Raw genomic sequence first — 21,792 nt, 5'->3', positions numbered from 1 at the left:
GAACTGGGCAAAACACTTACCTGATAGGTCTCGATTGCATTTTTTTGTTGATTAAATTGCCTATAGTCTTGAGATCTCTTCTACTTCCATGGTTCTAGTATGTTCATTTCAGGTCTTTATGAATATAGAGGATATCTATGTGTGTTGATAGTAGCATCTGGGACTGAGAAAGTTAAAACCGTGGGTTGATATTTGCCCCATTATCATGTGGCAAAGATTCTGTGAACGTTTCTGAGGATCCTTTGTTATTTCATCCAGTTTTATGTTCTAATTACTCACACTTACTCAAACTATATTAAAAGTGGGAACCAACTTCATTTTAAGCAGAAGAGCATTTCTTGTAAGTATAAACAATAGCTCTGACTATAACAAGCTTCTTTGTTATGAGAAATAATCACTTATTAATAACCTGTCTTATGACTTGCACTATGATTAAATGCTCTTTCAGAGTACCTTGCCACATTGTAATTCACTGGGAGTAGGAAATGAAATAAGGAATTTAGTTTGCTGAATTGGAGTGAGGGCCGGCATCAAAGGCCTTTTCACTCCAAATCTTCCAGTGCCAGCCTATTCCCTAGGCTACTGGGGCCTACCAAACTTTGAGTTTCTAACTTTATAAGAGACATACAAGGCTGGACATACTACATTGTTAAATGCTCAAGTGGTATTTGTAACTGAGAGCTAAACAGCATAAGCATTTTTAGGAATAGAGATAAACTAAGAAAATTTCTGGGACAAGTTTTCAAAGCCAAAGTATCAGATCGGTTATTAAAACAAATGAGTAATAGTAATCACAGTGCCCCCAATTTTTATAGCAGCTTATATTTTCCAAAAGGCATTGGTATATATTGTTTTATTTGCTCCTCTCACCCACCCCAAAATAGGGGTAGAGAAAGCATTATTATGCTCCTTCAGTTCTGAGGTCCAAGAGGCCAATTGATTTGTTCAACTTTGCATAGCTTTACAAGAGAGGAACTGAAGCCAAACACCAGATTGTTTGACTTCAAATCTACTGTGCATTTTGTGTTATAAATATAGGAGAGCTGTGAGGATTGGGCGCTGGAAAGATTACTGTAAAAATAACTGGCACTCGAATCCTCACACCCCCATATATACAGGCATACACACTGATGCAGAATTGTTGGAGCAAAAGTAAAGAATCAACAGAGGTAACATCCAAGATCCAATCTGGAGCCAACACTAGAGTGAATCTAAAGCTCCTACTACAGATTTCCTCTCTCTGTGAATCCCAGATCATCTATGGTAAAAGGAAGGAAGTGGTGTCATCTTGTTGGGGATGAAGACTGAAGGAAGAAGAGATTCCTCGTGATGACCAGGAAGAAACCTAAAAAAAAAAAAAGCCTAGTGACTCTAAGGAAAACCTGAAATCTTACCGCCATTGATAAACACAAACCCTAATTCTCCAACATAGCTGAAAAATCTCTATATGGCTGGGAGAGCAGAGCTCAGGAAAAGAACTTTGTCCTTTAGGGCGTTCTTATTGCCTGCCAGGCCCTGGGGACCCTGCTTTCTCTTTACTGTTCTGTCCTGAGATGTAATTCCCAACAGAACAGCTGAAACCCACGGGGAATATTTAGATAAGACTTTAGCAAAGGCTCTGGGTTAGTAAACAGATGGTAATATAGAGAGAAAAAAGTGGTGAGAGAAACTTGATTCTTCTGAAGCTCCTCTCTCTTAGTTTATGGCAGGGATGGACAAAGTACAGCCTGAGAGCCAAATCAGGCTTGCTGCCAGGTTTTCTAGAGGGCACAAGCTAAAAGTGTTTTCTACATTTTTAAACAGTTGAAAAAATCAAAAGAAGAATTTTGTGACATGTAAAAATATGTGGAGTTTTAATTCCAGCCTTCACAGCTGTAATGGAACACAGCCATGCCCATTTGTTTACACATTTTCTTTTCTTTTCTTTTTTTTTTTTTTTTCTATGACCATTTCTAAATGGTGAGGGCACAGTTGGGTAGTTGTGACAGAGTCCTCCAGAGCCTAAAATATTTATTATTTGGACTTTCACAGAAAAAGTTTGCCAACCTGTAGTATATGGCCTCTCTTGTCCCAAATTGTAGACCTATTTTGCCAATTTTTAGTCAATAGAAAATATTCTGAGGGATTCACACCATTGGATTACACAGAGAAAAGAGGAGAACATGAACTGATAGCTACAAACCTTCTACGTATGTCCTAATCTTGTATAGAGGGAAGAGAGACATTGCTTCCGATGGAAAGTTAGAATAGTGATATAAAGAAGGAGGGATGAGAGTTAAAAGGAGATGATATTATCCTGGCATTGAAAGAAAACATAGAGAATCATTGTTCAAGTTTAGAATCAGTGGTGTGAAATAAAGTATCTATTATTTTTAAATTGTTAATTTCTTGGAGGGAAACAAAAACTAACATCCTGTTTTCCTAGGAAGACCTTGCTATGGACCACATTGGGATCCCCAAAATTCATATGATAAAGCCCTGATCCCCAGTGTGATTGTATTTGGAGAAGGTGCCTTTGAGAGATAATTAAGTTTAGATGAGGTCATGAGGGTGGGATCCTCATGATGGGATTAATGCCTTGGTAAGAAAAGATACCGGGCAGCTTGATCTCTCTGACACGTGAGAACACAGCAAGAAGGCAGCTGTCTGCAAGTCAGGAAGAGAGCCCTTACCAGAACCCAATGATGCTGACAACCTGATCTTAGACTTCCAGCTTCTAGAACTATGAGAAAATAAATCTTTTTTTTTTTAAGTCATCCAGTCAGAGGTATTTTGTTATGGCAGCTTGAGCTGACTATTATAAACCCCATGGCAGGAAATTGAAAGATAGAGGTTTGAAATCCCTCTGTATTTGATCTACTAGTTTGAAAGCAAGGAAAGAGAGCTAAGCAGAGGGCCTTTCTACTAGTTTGAAAGCAAAGAAAGAGAGCTAAGCAGTGGTATCAGGCACAGTGGCAGTGTGGTTACACCAGCAGCAATACAGTGTGGTGTAGCAAAGGCTGGACCCCAGCAGTGTAAGTCATGCATTGGTACACAGAACAGTGTGGTAGCTGCTCCAGCAAAGAAGACATTCAGGGTAGGGTAGCAGGGGCATTTCTAGTCAATAACAGGAAAGCAGAGCAGCTGCTTAAAACTCAGAAGTTAGCCTAGAGTAGGGGCTTGCGCAGTTCAGCAAAGGGAAGTCAAGCAAGTTCTGGTAGACAGCATGAACTGGCTATTGGTTAGCAAATATATATCAATGCTTAGCAGATAAATATGAAGGTGTATGTGTGGGGGTGCTTTGTGAGGACAGTAATGAGGGAACTATTGTCCTTTGGGGTTTTGAAGGAAAGCTCTTGGTGTGGTGGTCTGTGGTGTGTTAGTTTTCTAGTGCTGTGTAACAAATGAGCACATGTGCAGTGTCTTGAATCGGCACAGATTTATTATCTCACCATTCTGGAGGTTGGAAGTTTAGTAGGTTCAGCTTAGCGTTAAGAAGGCCAAAATCAAGGTATCAGACAAGCTGGTTTCCTATTTGGCAGCTTTAGGGAACAATGACCTCCAGGCATACTCAGGTTCTTGTCAGAACTCAGTTCTGTTTATAGTTCTGAGGTCCCTGCTTCCTTGCTGGTTGTCAGAAAGGGCTACCCTCAACTCCTAGAGGTCGCCTTAATTTCTTCATTCTCACATGGTCCCCTCTACCATCTTTGAGGAACAAGAGCATGTCAAGTCTTTCTAATGTTTCTAAATTTCTTTTATGCCTCTAAGTACATATGTGATTACGTGGGATCCATCCCAATAGTCTGGAATAATCAATTTTAAAATTAACTGATTAGTAACTGATTCATAGCCTTAATTACATTTGCATAGGACAGTTGGCCATCTAACATAGCATGTTCATGAGACTGATATATAATATTTAAAGGTTCTTGGGATCGAGGTGTGTAATATGTGTGTTGTGAGGCATAGAGTAGAATTCTGTCAATCAATGTCGATGTGTACAAGCAGCCACAAAAGAGAGTGGAACATTTAGGCTTGCCTGTAGAGCAACCTCTCATAGATCATGTTCCAATTAAATAATCAGAAATTGTTAGTGGGGTTTTGACTTGTGTAGCTGCTAGATTAATGTATGTAAAGAGAATTGGACTTTCCCACGCTCTGCCTAGGAACTTATGCCCATTAAAATTTGTGTTACAAATAGATATAGCTTGTTGATTTCTTTTTATCATCAGAAGGGTAACTTTTAGATTAAAAAAAAGATTAACATACATGGTATCTGGAAGTCTCTAACTTACTGGAACTTTTACTGGGGATTTCTGATGTTCTTTTAAAACATCCCATGCCATCCCCACTTTTTTTCAACAATAGACGATAATTTGGCCGAGTGGTTGGGGCTTGTTTTATAATCAGACTTGCATTTGTTTTGATTTTTAAACGTGCATGTACCTGATTTTATTTACTTTTTCTCTTTATTGTGTTTAGTTGACTGGAACTAATGTTTCCTGAAAGATCTTGAGTCAATTCTGCCATCAAAATGATCTGCTTTTTTGTGTGTTTAGCTTAAATTGAGTTTAATTTCGAAGTCACTGAGAACTTGTGTATGACCTTGTTTCTTCCCAAGCATATTCCTTGGTTCTTGTTTGGCATTGTCTACTTTTGGCATAGTTTTGACTTTTCAAGAATATCATATGGTTGGAGTCATACAGTAAATAGCCTTTTTGAATTGGCCTCTTTCACTTGGTTATATACATTTAAAGCTTCTTGGTGTCTTTTCACAGCTGCTTTGACTTTTAAAGCTGCTTTCTTCCTTTACTGTATTTATTTTGATATCAATTTGAATTGCTTATCTCTTATTTGGAATTTAAAAATATTTCACCTTGTCTCACCCATTTTTTCTCTTTTCTTTGGTAATTATGCTATTCAATTTTCTTTATAACTTTTCTTACTATTCTACGTGGTAAATACCTAGAGTTTTCTAGGTAATTTGGGGGAGGGGCTAGCCTTTATTTATTTTTCAAATAGCCTTTTTGTGATATTTGAAGGTTAACAATTCCTATTAGCCAAACTCATGCAGACGATAAGAATTAGAGGATCACCGCTGACAACCTCAAATATAGTAACTGAGTTTGGCAAGGTTTTCCAGTGGATACTAAACTTTTAGGTGGAATGTGGTTGGAATACAGGACATTTAGTCAAACTCAATTGATTCACTCCACAAATTATTTACTCATTTAATTCTAGAAGGAAAATATACTCTTGTAAATAGATCTGGCAGTCAGTCCCTTAACCGAGCAATCAAACTTAACATCACTATTAGTGTGACAACCTGACATCTTGTGTCTCCTAATGGGATATAATAAAACGTACCAACACCACCTATGTTATTCTTTCCAAAGATATTTAACCTGAATCCATTAATAAGAAAGCAACCAGAAAATTCAAAATGTGGTCTGTTCTTTATAATAACTTGCTTGGACACCTCTTGATAAAAAATCAATATCTTGGCTGGGCATGATGGCTCATGCCTGTAATCCCAGCACTTTGGGAGGCCGAGGTGGGTAGATCACCTGTGGTCAGGAATTGGAGATCAGCCTTGCTAACGTGGGAAACCCCGTCCCTACTAAAAATACAAAAATTAGTCAGGTATGGTGGTGCACGTCTGTAGTCCCAGCTACAAGGGAGGCTGAGGCAGGAAGGTCACTTGTACCCAGGAGGTGGAGGTTGCAGTGAGCCAAGATTGCGCCACTGCACTCCAGCCTGGTGACAGAGTGAGACTTCATAAAAAAAAAAATAAAAAAAACAATGTCTTGAAAAACAAACATGAAAGTACATGATATCTAAATTAACAGAGGCTAAACAGGCATAAGAATCAAATGCAATGCTTTGATATTCATTAAATCCTCTATATTAACAAGTTATAAAATACATTTCTGAAATAATTGGGGACATTTTTCATAGTAAATAATACTGCTGTTTTTCCTTTGCATAATGGTGTTCTTATCCTTATGAGATGCATAATTAAATAGTTAAGGGTGGAGTGTCATTATTTCTGTAACTGATTTTCAAACTGTTTAAAAAAAGTATGACATACCTTCAATACTTATACACACAGAAAAAGAAAATGTGATAAAATGCTAACAATTCGTGAATATGAGTGAAGGATATTCAGGTATTTATTGTACTAGTCTTTCAACTTTCAATTTGAGAATTTTCAAAATATGAAGCTAGGAATAAAAATATGAAGCTGGGAATAAAAACCATATAACCAGAGGTGGATGTAATGATCTTCAATAAGATGTACTGGCCCGAACTGTTGACTGATGCACCTGCCGAACCTAACCTGGTTCAGGACTGCTCAGCAGGAGGTGGGTAATTAGAAGCTTTCAAATACACTCTCTTCTACTACTGAGATGACTGGAAGAGAGTTTACAGGTTACTAAAGAGATCTTCAGTCTGACCAAGAGTAAATGCGTTGCTTCCTTTCCATCCTTTATTGTTTACCTTCAAGTGATGTTTAGAAAGCTAAACAAAATTTGTCTTTCATTCATTCTGTGTTAAAACCTGAGCGAAAACTGATAGTCCACTTTCAGAAGTGTGCTTTCTTAACTGACTTCTTTTAGGCACGGAGCACCAGCCTTCTTCTTCCAAATTACCCCTCTGCTCATTTTTTCTTTGTTGCCATAACCCCTCTGTTTTCATTTGCTTTTTCATGTCTGAATCTGCTTCAGCCTTGAGGATTGCCCAAACACTGAGTTTATCAGGCTGTAAGATTATCAAAGTTTACATTTGAGAACATGTATAGAACTTTTCCCCATCTTCACCATTTGGCTTATTTTTTCCCAAATTTCCATGGGACACTAAAATTAGATTAAATCAACAATTTGAATTTACTCTGTTACAGAAATATCATGAGTAAGTAGAATATGAAAGGTGAGATTTGAGTATTTTACAAATTATTGACATAGTAAACTCCTAATAAATTATGCAAGACATTTAGCTATCACTGGAAAAGGCCTTTTAAAGACCCATTTCTCCAGATCTACACTGACTTAAGTGATGCCAATGAAACAAAACTTTCAAAGAGTAATATATACATATTATCTTCTTTTGTGGTACTGGTGGAAAAAGTGAAGATAGCAAGTCATTTAGATCTAGAAATCAACTGTAAGGAGTAAGGACTTAGAAGGATAGAAAAAGTACTGAAAAAAATTGAATGACCCACATTAGGATTTTAAAACAGTGGGACTGAGGCTGACTAAAATAAAGAATCAACTTATCTACCCATGCAAAATTTAAATCAACCTTGAAATAAGCTTCACTGTCTCATCATTTTTTATTTGAATGAAAATGCAGAGGAATGCATTTACAACACTGGGAGAAAGAAATGGACATGATTTTTATGTGTTGTCAATTGTTATATGTGGATATTCCCCTGTGAGCATGCTGCCTAAGGCATTTTCATGATGTAATTTATTTAATGTTTCTTGAAATTTAGTCAGTAATATATTCAAAATTCATTTAATGTCAAATTGCGTTCATTTAAGGATCTAGTGAGCCCTCCTATATGCTTATAAACATGGAATTTCATCCATTTAGTCAGTCTATTCTTAGTTTTATACTCTAGAAAAAATAAATATCTTACTTTCATGTACCATGAAATAACAAGATAATAATACCAATGCTACATTCTCCTTATACATAACTATTTGTTGTTTTCACTGCAAGTATTGCATGCTATTTTAAGCCAATTCGGTTAAGCAACTACTTTTGAAGTGTCTATAGGAAAAACCAGGTGCTGGTTTATGTAATGCTTTCATATATGAACATGACATAGCTTGAAACATCAAATAATTTTCAGTCTTACATGAGGCATAAAGCTGAGCATCTTCCACTAGGTAATGAACCCAAGCTGGAATATCTTTTGCATAATTCTAATTTCTGTAGACTCAAAATTTAGCACTGACTTAGAGGAACACTTAGAAAGCATTCAATAAATGTTTGTTGAATCAATAAGTATACTGTATATAAATAAATAGAATGCATTACCATGTAGAGTGATAAACAAAATTCTATGAGAATGACAACAGGGTAATGAAAGATTGCACTTGGTTAAGATAAAAGAAAAAACTTTGCAGAAGAGGCACCACTTGAACTGAATCTTTAAAAATAAGTATTTCTGACCGGGCATGGTGGCTTATGGCTGTAATCTCAGCACTTTGGGAGGCAGAGATGGTGGATCACCTGAGGTCAGGAGTTCGAGACAAGCTTGCCCAACATAGTGAAACCACATCTCTACTAAACATACAAAAATTTGCTAGGCGTTGTGGTGCATGCCTGTAATCCCAGCTACTCAAAAGGGTGAGGCAGAAGAATCGCTTGAACCTGGGAGGCAGAGGTTGCAGTAAGCTGAGATACTGCCACTGCACTCCAGCCTGGGAGACAGAGCGAGACTCTGTCCCCTCGCTTGAAAAAAAAATTAGAAAATAGGGATGTTAATGCAAGGTGGGACACTGCCCATGGAAATACAAGTATGCACAATGGATAGTGGAAACTGGAATGATGCAGAATGCATTTGGCATTCACTCACTCAGTGGGTGAGTACTCACACACAGTGAGTACACAATGAGTGTTTGTTGAATAACTGCACAAATGTACGCAATGATGATGCCATCAATCCATGATTGAGCTTGGGTACATGAGTAAAAGTACTCCAGAAGAGTTTTTTTTTTTTTTTTTTAAATATATTGTGTGGTTTCATAAAAAAGTTTTCCTGAGACATCGAGATTAAACTGTTCATATGTGTTTCTTCAAAATAGTTTCAAACTTCTTCATTTTGTTTAGAAGGAATGTATGAGTAGGTTTTAATTTCCAGTTGATGGTTTCGTAAGTGTGTCCAAGTGCCTATAGGAAGTGCCTGTTTTCTGAAGGCTACCTGAGTATATTTCATGCTTCAGGAAAATAAGATCAGGAAAATAAGATTACTCTTAAGAATGGAGTACTCTTTGTCTTAGACATGAGAAATCACTGAGGCACTGAATGACAAAGTCCTCAAAACGTGGGGGAGACTGCTGCTTGGCAGCCTGGTTTGTTGTAGGAAACAGAATTTTGAAAAAAATCAGGCGGTCCTGGCTTCAAATCCTAATTCTGATTCCTATTAACATTGCTATTTTGAGACAGTTGCTTAAACTCTTTGAGCTTCATTTTTTCCTCTTTCGTAAAATGGTACAAAATGCCTTTCAAGACTGTTGTAAGGATTAAATGAGGTAATGTTTATATCAAGCATCTGACCCCGGGTGAGTGCTCAGTACTCCCTAGCGGGCAAAGTCTGAACCAATTATGTCAGAATGTTTCTCTTAAAAAATGGAATACAAACACATTGAATTCTTTCCATGTTGCAGTTCTGTCAGTTTATCCTTGTACACAATATTTCTCAAAGATGTTTACAATTTATCTGTCTCTCCAGGGTCTTATTCAAGACTTTGTATGCAGAAGGAACCTAATAAGTACTTCTTTAAAATAATTTCTATCAACACTTCATTCTGAGCTTACTTTGATTCCAAACAACTCTGAACTACATCAATATCACTGACAAGTTTCATCTGTATATTGAATTACTGATTTGAATTGATAATGCGTCAACTCTGAAAACATTATCCCCAACAGCCTTATTAAGTAAGCAAACACCAATCATGTGGTTTGCTGTTTAAAAAAGTAGAACATAAAAACTTCTCCCTTATATAGGGTTCTATTGTTTTATCGATTCTGCCAATTGTAATTTTCGTGTGTTATTTAGGTTATAATCATGTGTTGCCAAAATCAGCAAGAAGCAAGCAGGTATTTACAGTACAGTGGGTCTCACTTAAATTTGCTGCTGACCTACTTGCCCCTGGGTTACAATATTCTGCTTTCCTAATATGTGTAATTACCTCAATCCCTAATTTTAAAATTGCTTCTTTGTTTTGAGCTCTGAGTGTGTCCTTATGCAACAAGGGACTAGAGTTTCCAGAGTTTAGGTGAGCAGAAGCCAGTACATTGGAAATAAGAGTGACATTTTTCTGTATTGTAAACAAAAAGAAGCCTGTGGTCTTTTAGCACAAAAGCAAAATTATTGGAATCTGCTCCTTTAATATATGCTAAGTAGCTGGTACCAAAAGGCAGGGCTCCTCTGGAGGATGAGTGAGTCAAGGACATTTTGTTTGATTTATAGGACAATATGCTGCTTTTCCATTGTTGGACAGGATCCTCATTTCCAAAAGTGGAATAGAGTGCTGCTTACAAAGGAAAAAAAAACATTTTCAGCTGGTTAGATTTGAGATGTTGAGTGAAGTTCATTATAATGCCTGTAGCACTTTTATTTGATCTTGGAGGGGTTTTCATATTCTTGAAGCTTTTGTTTCTTAAGGCTTTGTTGAGATATTCAAACAAATATTTAAAACTATATTGGAGGCAGTGTATTTAAATATTCTTGCCCCTAAATATTTTCATTTGTGTTGCCAGTTGAACATAACCTTGTATTTATTAACATTTAGCCAAAGATTAATTATGTGAGAAACAGGAGTATAAGCATCTTTCTATCATTTGAGATAGTTGGATGGGAAGGTGGGGATAGGAAGGAAGAACTATTTGCAAAAAAGTCCTCAAAGCCGCTCTGAAGGGTGTAAGACGAAGTAAGAGGAGTTTAAATATAGAAAAAATATATATATATTAAACAAGCTTGAGGAAGCTAAGTACAATGGTAAATGCAAACCCACCCGAAGTAAAGAAGATAGGGTTATGCCATCTGCTTTGTGTGGTCTGTTTGTCCTGATTTTTTCAGCTATTTATTTGCAACTTTTTATATCTTGTGTCTTTCCTATATTTTTAAAAACCATCTTAAAACCAAGAATAAAGCAGAGACACAAATGTATAGTTACAAATCAGTTCCCATTGCTGGATAAAGTAATTAATAAAGGATTAAATTCTTTCCTATTTGTTCTCTGAAAGTGTTTTAAACATAGACATTTTTTATTTTATTTTATTTTTGAAGGCACCTTGAAACACACAAAAAATGATGTTCTCCATCTCCTTTCCCAAGAAAAAAAAGTGTTATATTTGCTTTGACCCTGGATACAGGTCAAGGGCAAAATGTTGCATCATAATTTTGTAGAAGCAATTTCACTACACTACAAGTGTAGGGCTTCTATGATTGGACAGGTGGGTAAAATCTTGAGAATCAGGAGGATGGAAAATTAGCATTTCTCTTAGAGCAGTTCCCAAAGTGGGGTCCTTTGATGAGCAGCATCAGTATTATCTGAGAACATGCAAAATCTCTGGTCCTACCCAAGTCCTACAGAATCATGAACTTAGATAATTCTGATGTGTGCTTAAGTTGGCCATCTGAGACTACCATTTTCCATATGAAAGAACTCAGATGGGCTTTTCCCTCTGTCCTACCTTTAAAAAATCATTTAAAAAATAATACAAGCTTGTTAAATACAACCTGAGAATTAAAAAAATAAAAAAAGATGAGAAAGCAGAGGAGGAAGTGAAGGAGGAGAAGGACAATGACAAAAGCCTGTAGTCCTACTATCCAAATGCAAAAATGGACATTTTTATGATTTTCCATTATTTGATTTTATTCTTACAATTTTTTTTTCACTGTACTAAAAATGTTTAAGCATCTCTATATTAAGGCCTGCATTTAAAATTTAACAATATTTTTTTCATGTTATTGCCTGGATTTATAAGTCTCATTTATAGATCTTCAAAAAATTTTTATTTATTTAACTATCTGCCTATTGTTGGACATTTATGTTTCACAATTATGGACAACCCTCTAGTAAATATATGTGTGCATAAAGCATTTTCTACATTTTTAAGTGTGTCTTTAGTAGTGTCCTGTAAGTAGACTTCTGGGTCAAAGTAAATGATTATATATACTTTATTAAGTAAATGATTATGTTTACTATATTAAGATGTTTTTATTGGTGAAAATGTGAACGTTGTCCTGACTTTAAGATCCTCTTATTTCTGAGGCATGTAGCGTTAGCTCACACAGGAGGCGTGAATCTTCAGTGCTTTCTTTTCTTTCTGTTTAGCCTATTTACATTTCTCTTAACGTTTGCAGCAAATCCTCCTAAATTTTGTCCCAAGCCCAATTCTATTCTAAGTTTATAGTACTGCCTGTATCATCCTCGATGTGCAGGTCTTCAAAGGGAACTTTGAAGGTAAATTGGATGCAAGACCAGAGCCTCAGTCACTTTTATGTGCAACTATCTCTGGACCTGACCTAAAAGTTTTCAGATTATTTTTTAAGCCTCCTTTAAAAAAGTGTTGACATATCCCTCCTTTTTCCCCACCAGTTTACTTTCATGTTCATAGTTAAAGTTCCATGGTCCTATTTTAACATCCCATGGCCTCTAATCACCTTTCTTCAAGTACACTGAAGCTTCACTTACCAGCTTCTTTTTTATTTCTTTTTTTTTTTTGTAGTCTTTGCTTTTTCAAGATTCTATGTGACCCTTTTCTTACTCTCCTTTAAATCTATTTGCAAAAGAGATATGTTTGTAGTTAGGGGAAGGCTATGTACTTAGTACTTATTCTCTTATCCTGGGTCTAATATTTTTGCCAGACCCACCTATCCATTGGTGAGTTTGCAACCAACCTGGAATCCCACAATTGTCTTGTTTCCATGTGTTTTCCTAATTTTCCTCATTACTTCTCTGTGTCCCTATTTTTCAACTTCCCTCTGCTATGCCCAGGCGATTACTCCATTGTTGATGTTTTACATAGGAATCAGAGGGAAAAGGATGGGCAAGCATCACTATGCTCCATGCCATAGAATTCTTCTTTTGAGACTTTACCCAGGCTTACCTACTGTAGAGCTATGTGGCTGTGAGTTGGAAATCTGGAGCAAGAATGGAGTATTAAGCAAAAGTACTTATTTTTCTGTAAATAGTTCAGAATTGTTGCCAAATCGATAAACTTTTTTTTTTTTTTTTTTTTTTTTTTGAGATGGAGTCTCGCTCTGTCGCCCAGGCTGGAGTGCAGTGGCGTGATCTCGGCTCACTGCAAGCTCCACCTGCTGGGTTCACGCCATTCTCCTGCCTCAGCCTCCCGAGTAGCTGCAACTACAGGCGCCCGCCACCAAGCCCGGCTAATTTTTTGTATTTTTTAGTAGGGACGGGGTTTCACCATGTTAGCCAGGTTGGTCTTGATCTCCTGACCTCGTGATCTGCCCGTCTCAGCCTCCCAAAGTGCTGGGATTACAGGCGTGAGCCACCGCGCCCGGCCATCGATAAACTTTTGAAGTCATCTTTCCTTTGCTGATAGAGTATGTAACGAAACTGCATTCAATTTTTCAGTCTAGTGGGGAAGCCCATTTTAATGAATTTACTTCCCCAGAAGCCTAAGAGAATGTAGTTTTGAAAGTGTTTAATGTGCACCCAGGGAATAGCTTATATGCCTAGAGAACTCTATTAAGGTACAACAGGAATTTGGGAAACTGGCTCAGTGTTAGGCTTATATGAGTAATCCAACCAGCATTTTTGTGCCCTACTTCATTGTTTACAGCCTCCTCAGTGCACTACTTTCTTTGTACCATGTCTGCAGATTGTATACCCCTAGGAAGAACCAAATATCAAATTGTCTTTCAAATGAGTGGTTACATACTTCATTTCATGTTTTTCCCCTTAAATGAAGGCTGAGAGAGCCAGTGAGTATACAGAAAGAGAGAGATAGCTTCTGTTTAAAATAAAAGATGGATAAGCTAAGTGACACCTTCCCTAACACTTATAAAAAGTAAAATCTTTTTATAATTTTTATAATTAGTTAATCAATCATACCCACGTATTAGTAGTAAGTAAAGGGAACTACATCTGTGGACTCTTAAGTTCAGAAGAGGTCTGCTGGTGTTTCAGAGAACAAATAGTATTAGGCAAGAACAGATTGAAGTAACTGAAGGCCCAGTCGAAAATCAGTTAATTTATTGTTTCAACAGCAGCCTTACACAAATCTATTTTAGAAAGAGTTCTTTTAAAAACAAGGGCACTTAAATTTAGTGGAATATGGAGACTGGGATCTGAAAATGGTCTCGTTATAAAACAATTAGAAATCTTGTAAAATATATAACAACCATCTTCTTAAATGCATAGATATGCTCATAATAGCATAAGGAAAACTGACAAGCCAATATTAAAAAGAAAGTTTAAAATCAGAAAAGCATGAGCCAAGAAGCTATGGTTGGCCTGAGGGACTTTGCCGATCCTTGCAAATCTTGGTGTGTGATGAATGTTTAAGGACTGGACACAATACCTTGTGTCTCTGCAAGATTGGACCTGACACCCTTGCATAATGCCAGAACTTCTTTGGAAGTTTCTTCTTCCTTTTATAGAGTTCAGCTGCTCACTACTTTGTTCATTAAGGAGATTCTGGAGCAAAGGAGCTAAAGCCCCTAGTTTCATAATCTCTTCTATTTTTAACTCACAGCTGGCATAAGTAATAGCAAAGATGGAGGATGGGATTATATGCAGCCTCACACCTAACACCAACAATATGTTCTTTCCAACATTCAGGCAAAATGCATTTGAGAAGTCCTGCCCTCTCAGACTCATTTACCACTTGCAATGCTTTTATCTTGGAGACTTATGTTCTTTTCTGCCATGACCAATCATGCCTACACGGTTCCATCAGACATGGCTATATAAGGCTTCAGCTTAATTGAGGGGTGTAGGATTTAAGTATTTCTCATTGAGCTTCTAGGTCCCAGGGAAATCAAGGATTATCCAGTTTCTGTATCTCTGAACATGTCAAATATAATTATGTTGGCTTTGTCTCTCCAGAGTACATAGGAATGACTGGTTGTAGAACCAGTGAGGATGGCAAAAAATGAACACTGCACAAACTTCGTATGAGAATCTCATGTTAACCAGGATAATATGTTATGGTTTATACACATGGCACTTTGTCTAGCATATTGCAAGCATCCTCTTAGGTAGTGTTTGTCACTTTTCCTCTCCTTTTCCTACGTGAGTTAAAGCTGGGAGGGATGGTAGACAGGATTCCTACTTTGTCATGCTATGACTGTCCAAACACCACTAATTTTGATAGTACTATAAGAGGTTTAAAGAAAGATACTGTTGCAATAATAATGGTGAGTCACTGTGAGCAGTCCCATATGTGCTTTCTTGTAGTTAGCTGGGTGTTTGAAATGGGGGTGAAGAAAAGAGGCAAAGAGAGAGAGATGCAGGTTTTTGCCTTTGGATCAATGAGGCTGCCTAGCAAGTATTCTACCCTAGAAGAAATGAGGGTGTGTATGTGGTGGTGGTGGGAGTGGTGGCGTTATTACACTTTTGTAGTCGTAATGCATTCCTCATTAAGAGGGAGAAGGAAACTAAGGGTGAAGAAAAGGAGCAAAGAGATTAAGAATGAGCGACTGGGTTGATACATTGAAAGCCTTTATATCATTTAGCTACTGATTTATTCATTCAATAATGCATTCATATTCAATGTGGTTAGGAAAGACTGGTGGAACAATCTATTAGGAACCTCTGCATCATGAATCACTAGAAACTACAGTCTCACTATTCTCTTTACATACTTCTCTCTGAAGAATCTCACTCTTTCCCTAGCTAGGCTATTGCTATGACACTGCTATTATTGTTTAGCTCCTTCTCACGGCAGTAAATAAAAACCTGCAAATCTGCATCTAGACCAATAATATGTTCCATCACTTCTTTCAGTGGGTTCCCCAGTTAGATAGTTTTACTAAAGGAATATGTGTTTAACAAACTTTGACATTTAGGTTTAGCGCATGAATTAGCCATTCTGGGCATAGCTTTGATCTACATAGATGCTAGCTCAGCACCGAGAGGCTGTGTGGAATGTGATTCACCAAGGCAGTTCTGGGCAGAGCCAATGAACTGGAAAATTTCTTCTTGACCTTTCTGGCCTTGGGTGTCCTCTTGTTGCACAGGGGTTACAATCTCAGTGATCAGTGCTTAACGATTCTGCAAGTATATACTGAAATACTCAAATCCTCCTTCAGATTGACTCTAAATATTAACAAAAGGGTTTCCCAAAGGTAAAAAATAATTTTGCAATTTAACAATTAATACAAGCTTGTAAAGCAGTACAAATTACTGTATTTTTCCAAAAAGGTCGAAAGAATTTAAAAGCTATCATAGAGTGGAAAAGCTTTTTTAGGTCTGATGTGTAAAATATAAGGACTTTAATGTGCGTTTATTAGAGGAAATGTAGCCGTGACATTTGGAGTCAGACATATTTGGGTTCAGATGCTTGTTCAAATTCTAAGTCTTATTTTCCTCATTGGTAAGATGGAGATAGCAATAGGAAACATGTAAGAGCACTCTGAGGACCAAATGAGAATGTGTGTGAGGTATTTTGTAGTGTCTTGCTCTATCCAGCCACATAACAGAGCTAGTATTAGCATCATTATTAATATACTTGTTTACAATCTATGGAGTTCTGCCTTCCTGACGGGAACACTCAACAGTACGTCATGCATTCTCTCTATAAACTCAACTTCTCAATTTCTGCAGCAGGAAAGAATGTCTTGTTTAAAAATGAAACCACAGCACATAGCTTTGCTTGGAAGCCATGAGTCTGAGAGAACAGGCTTACCTATTTAGCTAAGGCTTTACCAGGTCAGAGAGTTTCAGCGGGTTCACCGTTCAGAATTTTTCCTCATGCCTGAACAAAGACTGAACATCAGCACTATCAGCACTGTCTTCTTAGTGTACCAGAAATATTAAAGACAATTTTGCATCTTTACTTATTCCATCAAATCAATAAATAGTTTAGATTTTTCTTAGGGGTAAAACTTTATTTTACTAAAGTTTTAAAAATCTAAAAAACTTAATGTTTTTAGATTTTTCTTACGGGTAAAATTTTATTTCCCTGCTAGGGGGCTACAAAGGGGTTGGAAATATACTGGCCTCCACTTCTCACACCATTAGCACATATATGATTTTTATTTTTCCTACTATAATTACTACTTTTCAGGTGTTATCTGTCATAATAGTTGATTACGTCATTCACAATATCTGTGAATGGTCTAACACACCATTCACAGAATGCTTCTTTGAATAAGCCGCAGTGATGATGGATATGCAGAAGATAAAGCCTCATCTAGGGTTAAATGGTCCTTCCATTTCCAAATAGGAAAGAAACACTTACAAATGGGAAAGCAGCTGCCACCACGTCGTCAGCAAATTGCACACCTGTCTCACCATGCTGAGGTCACTTTGCTTTGATTATACACCATTTTAATAATCAGGAATGAATCCCATTACTAATAAGGGTAGCTCTTAGGTGCTGCAGTTGTAAGTTCTTTGGGAAAAAAAGGTAGGCAGGCCTAAAAGATATTCAAGGTATCAAAGGCAGCAATGCTAATTTCAACCTACAACTCTTTTCCTGTGGCATAGGCTCATATAGTGTAATAAATGTGGCAAATGATGTTTTGGTGGGGATTGAAATGATTTTGGCTTACTTCTTTGACCCTGAAGTAGTTAGTCTAATTTGGACCGGGAATCTGCACCTTCAATACATCCTCTTACTAAACTCACATACTGTCTATAATGACATTCCAAGACAGTGGTATAATTTTGCCTTCAAAAGAGTGAAGCTTTATCGATCTCCTATTAAGGGACTGGAGGAATTCAATGATAGCACAGGAAGCCTATTCCTGTCACTTGTGCTTGCTTCTGTCTGCACAGGAATCAAACCATGAGAGAATGGAGTTTGAAATGCTATGGGAAATATTGGCTGTCTGAAGATGTCCGCATGTAAGAGGCAAATGGATTCATTCATGGCATACATGTTTCCCAAGTGGAGTGCTTCCCAATCTTGTTTCATGTCAAAGCTCATATAGAAGATGGTAATATTCACTTGGATAAATCAAAGAAATTTTTGGAATATTTAGGGCATTTATAAAGAGAATTACATCTCTTTATACAGCAAAGTCTTAGTGAAAATACTGTCTTTATTTGGAAGAATATGTCCAAATAAAATCTTGGAATTTCAAATGAGTAACTTAATTTTGCTTCAGTGAACATAACTATTATTTTATATCAGGCTTTCATATTTGAAATGATGACAAGCAATTTCTGATTAAGACTTTTCAAAATGATGATGTCTTCATTTTCGATAATTATCAACAACAAACTTTGTTTCTACAAATAGATGATACAAATGTAAAACCATTCTCATAGCAATTCAAACATTTACAACAGTTGAAATTAGACTTAAAGAATATAGTATCCCCTTTCTTCCATTGACAAATGCAAAGTTACAATTCCTTGTGATAGTAAACAAGTATTTTGAATCTAAGTATTTTAAAATAATGATGAAGCTCTGATTTGCAAAACGTGCATGTGTTGTTAGAGCAGTGACCCCATAGTTAGTGTGGATACCACTGCAAGGAAACAAACAGGCAGGAGTCTCTGGGTTATGGGAAGACTTCTATTATTAACTAACTGCATGGAACTGCACCCATGGGGAGTTTTCCTTCTTCCCTATTTGGCTGTAGGTTTGGTTGTTGCTCTGTATGGTTCTCCTTGAGTGTTTCCAGCAGTGACTTTGTCCTTTTGTCTGGGGTCGCTCCTCAGGAGCATCAGGGCACAACAATGAGTGCTGGGTGTGTTTGTGTTGCTCACTACCTGAGGAGGTCATGGAGAATGCTCTCATTTCCCGCTCTTCTTGGGCTGCTCTTAGAAGAGCCCCAGATGAAGAATCTCATGGCAAGAGGCAATTAGCTCTGTGACTTCAACCAGCTTCATACCCTCCTAAAGGCTGCGCAGAGCTGTATAACTCACAGCACTACTATAATTCTTTTGTAGGATGCATAGCTTGCAAGCTTTTTATGAAGATTTGCCCTAGGGCCTGGGATAGTTGATTGAACACCTATATAGACTAAACTGGATAACAGTGAAGTGTCCCTTTTTTCCTAAGGAAGATGATTGTAGGAGAGTGCATGGCATATCTATCTGATTAGTTATTGTATTCTCAGTTCCTAATGAATAGAAGGAGCTCAATAAATATGATTTTAATGAATGAATGAATGAATGAATAGTGAAAGAAGTAAGCTTGCCCTGACTGTTAAAACTAATCAAGGCAATGCAGTTGGGAGAATAAGGAACCTTGAGGGCCGTGAACAATGCTACTAGAATAATAGCTTAATTTATTAATTCAACAAATAACTATTGAATACTTACTATGTCCCAGGCACTTTTCTGAGTGCTAAGGTGTCAGTGAACAAAAGCATCATAAATTCCTTTTGAAAAAAAAGTGAGAGAACATAGAAATAAACAATATAAATAAGTTCAACATATATGTGTTGGATGTTTTTGAGAGGTTTTAAAAAATAAGAGGAGTAGGATGGAGAATTTAATTAAAAGGAATTCTGGGAAGATGTCATTTGGATAAGGAGCTAAAAGAAAGAGCAAGCCCTGTGGGTGTTGGGGGAAATGCGTATCCGGCAGAGGGAACAGCAGATGCAAAAGCCCTGAGGCTGGAGAATACTGTTATGCCCAAGAAATGTTAAGGAGGCCAGTCTGGGTAGAATGGAGTGAGTAAAGAGGAGAGGAGAGTAATAAGAAATAGTGGTCCCCATCACATAGAACCCTATAGGCTCTATTAAAGATTTTTTTTTTTTTTTGAGATAGGGTCTACCTCTGTCACCTAGGCTAGAGTGTAGTGGGGCAATCTCTGCACACTGCAACCTCTGCCTCCCTGCAACCTCCACCTCCCTGCAACCTCTGCCTCTTGGGCTCAAACGATCCTCCTACCTCAGCCTCCCAAGTAGCTGGGAATAAGGGCATGCACCACCACGTCCAGCTAATTTTGTTGTTTGTAGAGATGGGGTTTTGCCACGTTGCCCAGGCTGGTCTCCAAATCCTGACCTCAAGCGATCCGCCCTCCTCCACATCCCAAAGTGCTGGGATTATAGGTGTGAGCATTGCACTTAGCGTATGTTAAGAGATTTTTAAATCTCAGTGAGATGTAGGCTGGGCATGGTGGCTCAAACCTGTAATCCCAGCACTTTGGGAGGCCAAAGGAGCAGATCACTTGAGGCGATAAGTTTGAGACCAGCCCAGACAACAGGGCAAAACCTTGTCTCTACTAAAGGTACAAAAAAAGTTAGCCAGGCATGGTGGCACATGCCTGTAATCTCAGCTACTCTGGAGGCTGAGGTGGGAGAATCGCTTGAGGACAGGAGGTAAAGATTGCAGTGAGCTGAGTTCTTGCCACCACACTCCAGGCTGACAGTGAGATTCTCTTTAAAAAAAAAAATACTCAGTGAGATGAGAAACCACTGAAGAAGCAGAAGCAGAGTTGGTGAACAAAGGTGTGACATGTTCTAGCCTTGAACAGGACCCCGTTGGCTGCCCTGTTGATAATTAGCCAAAAGAGCAAAAAGACAGAAGCAGGAATGCCAATTAGGAATCTTCTGCCATAATTCAGACAAGAAATGGCAATAGCCTGGAAAAAGAGAGATACAGTTCAAGTGATGAGAAGGAGTCAGATTCAGGATACGTGTCAAAGGTAACAACCAACAGTTACTGATGAAGTCAATGTGGGATATGAAAGAAAAAGAAGTATCAAGGATGGTATCCAGGTTCTTGTCCTGAGCAACTGAAAGAATTAAGCTGCCATGAAGACTACCTTTAGCTTAATCACTATAAACTTACTGTATTAGTCCATTTTCATGCTGTTGATAAAGACATACCCGAGACGGGGTAATTTATAAAGAAAAAGAGTTTCAGTGGACTCACAGTTTCACGTGGCTGGGGAGGCTTCACGATCATGGCAGAAGGCACAAAGCACGTCTTACGTGGTGGCAGACAAGAGAGAGAATGAGAGCCAAGTGAAAGGGGTTTCCCCTTAAAAAACCATCAGATCTCATGAGACTTATTCACTGCCATGAGAACAGTATGGGGGAAACCGCCCGCATGATTCAGTTATCTGCCACCAGGCCCCTCCCACAACACATGGGAATTATCGGGGCTACAATTCAAGATAAGATCTGGGTGGGGGCACAGCTAAACCATATCACCTACCTAATGAAAGTACTTATTAAAATGGAACTTACAGAAACAAGCTTTGGCTATTATTTCTAGTACTGTCTTTTGAGAACTAGTTTATTAAGGATGACATACACATAAGTATAAAAAGTGATATAATAAACCAGCTTCAATAGTGATTAATGTTTTGCCAGTCTTTTGTCTTCTATTTCCCCTCCACAAACTTTTTTATTTCTCAGAACTATTTTAAAGGATTCTAGCTATCATGTTATTTTTCTCCTAAATCATTAGTATGCTTCACTAATTGACAATAAAATTTTTATGTACCCCTACTGACGTTATCTACCCAAAAATGTTAACAACTGTTTTTTAACACTATCTAATACTCAAGCCATGTTTAAATTTCCCTAATTGTCTCAAAATTATCCTAACAGTTGGTTTGTTCAAATCAAATTGCGAACAAAGCCTCACATCATGTTTGACTGTTAAGTTTTTTAAGTCTTTTTAATTTCACAACAGTCCTTTTCCTTCTTTTCTCTCCATATCTCTGATTTATTTATTTATTTTTATTTTTTGCAGAAACCAGACCATTTGTCTTGTAGAATGCACCATATCATGAATTTGGCTGATCATTCTTTCAGGAGAGGAGTTTTAAAAATAAGTCTTTCCTTCCTTATTTCTTTTAAACTGATTTCTTTTCTTCTTTCTTTTTTTTTTTTAAGAATCCATTTGATTCAACTTCGGCAGTTTTGGACAAGATAAACATAGGTGGCGCTTATTACTTTCTATTGCA

This window comes from Homo sapiens, chromosome 2 (assembly GCF_000001405.40).
Source record: "Homo sapiens chromosome 2, GRCh38.p14 Primary Assembly".
NCBI classification, from domain to species: domain Eukaryota; kingdom Metazoa; phylum Chordata; class Mammalia; order Primates; family Hominidae; genus Homo; species Homo sapiens.
This window is presented reverse-complemented; position numbering follows the sequence as displayed.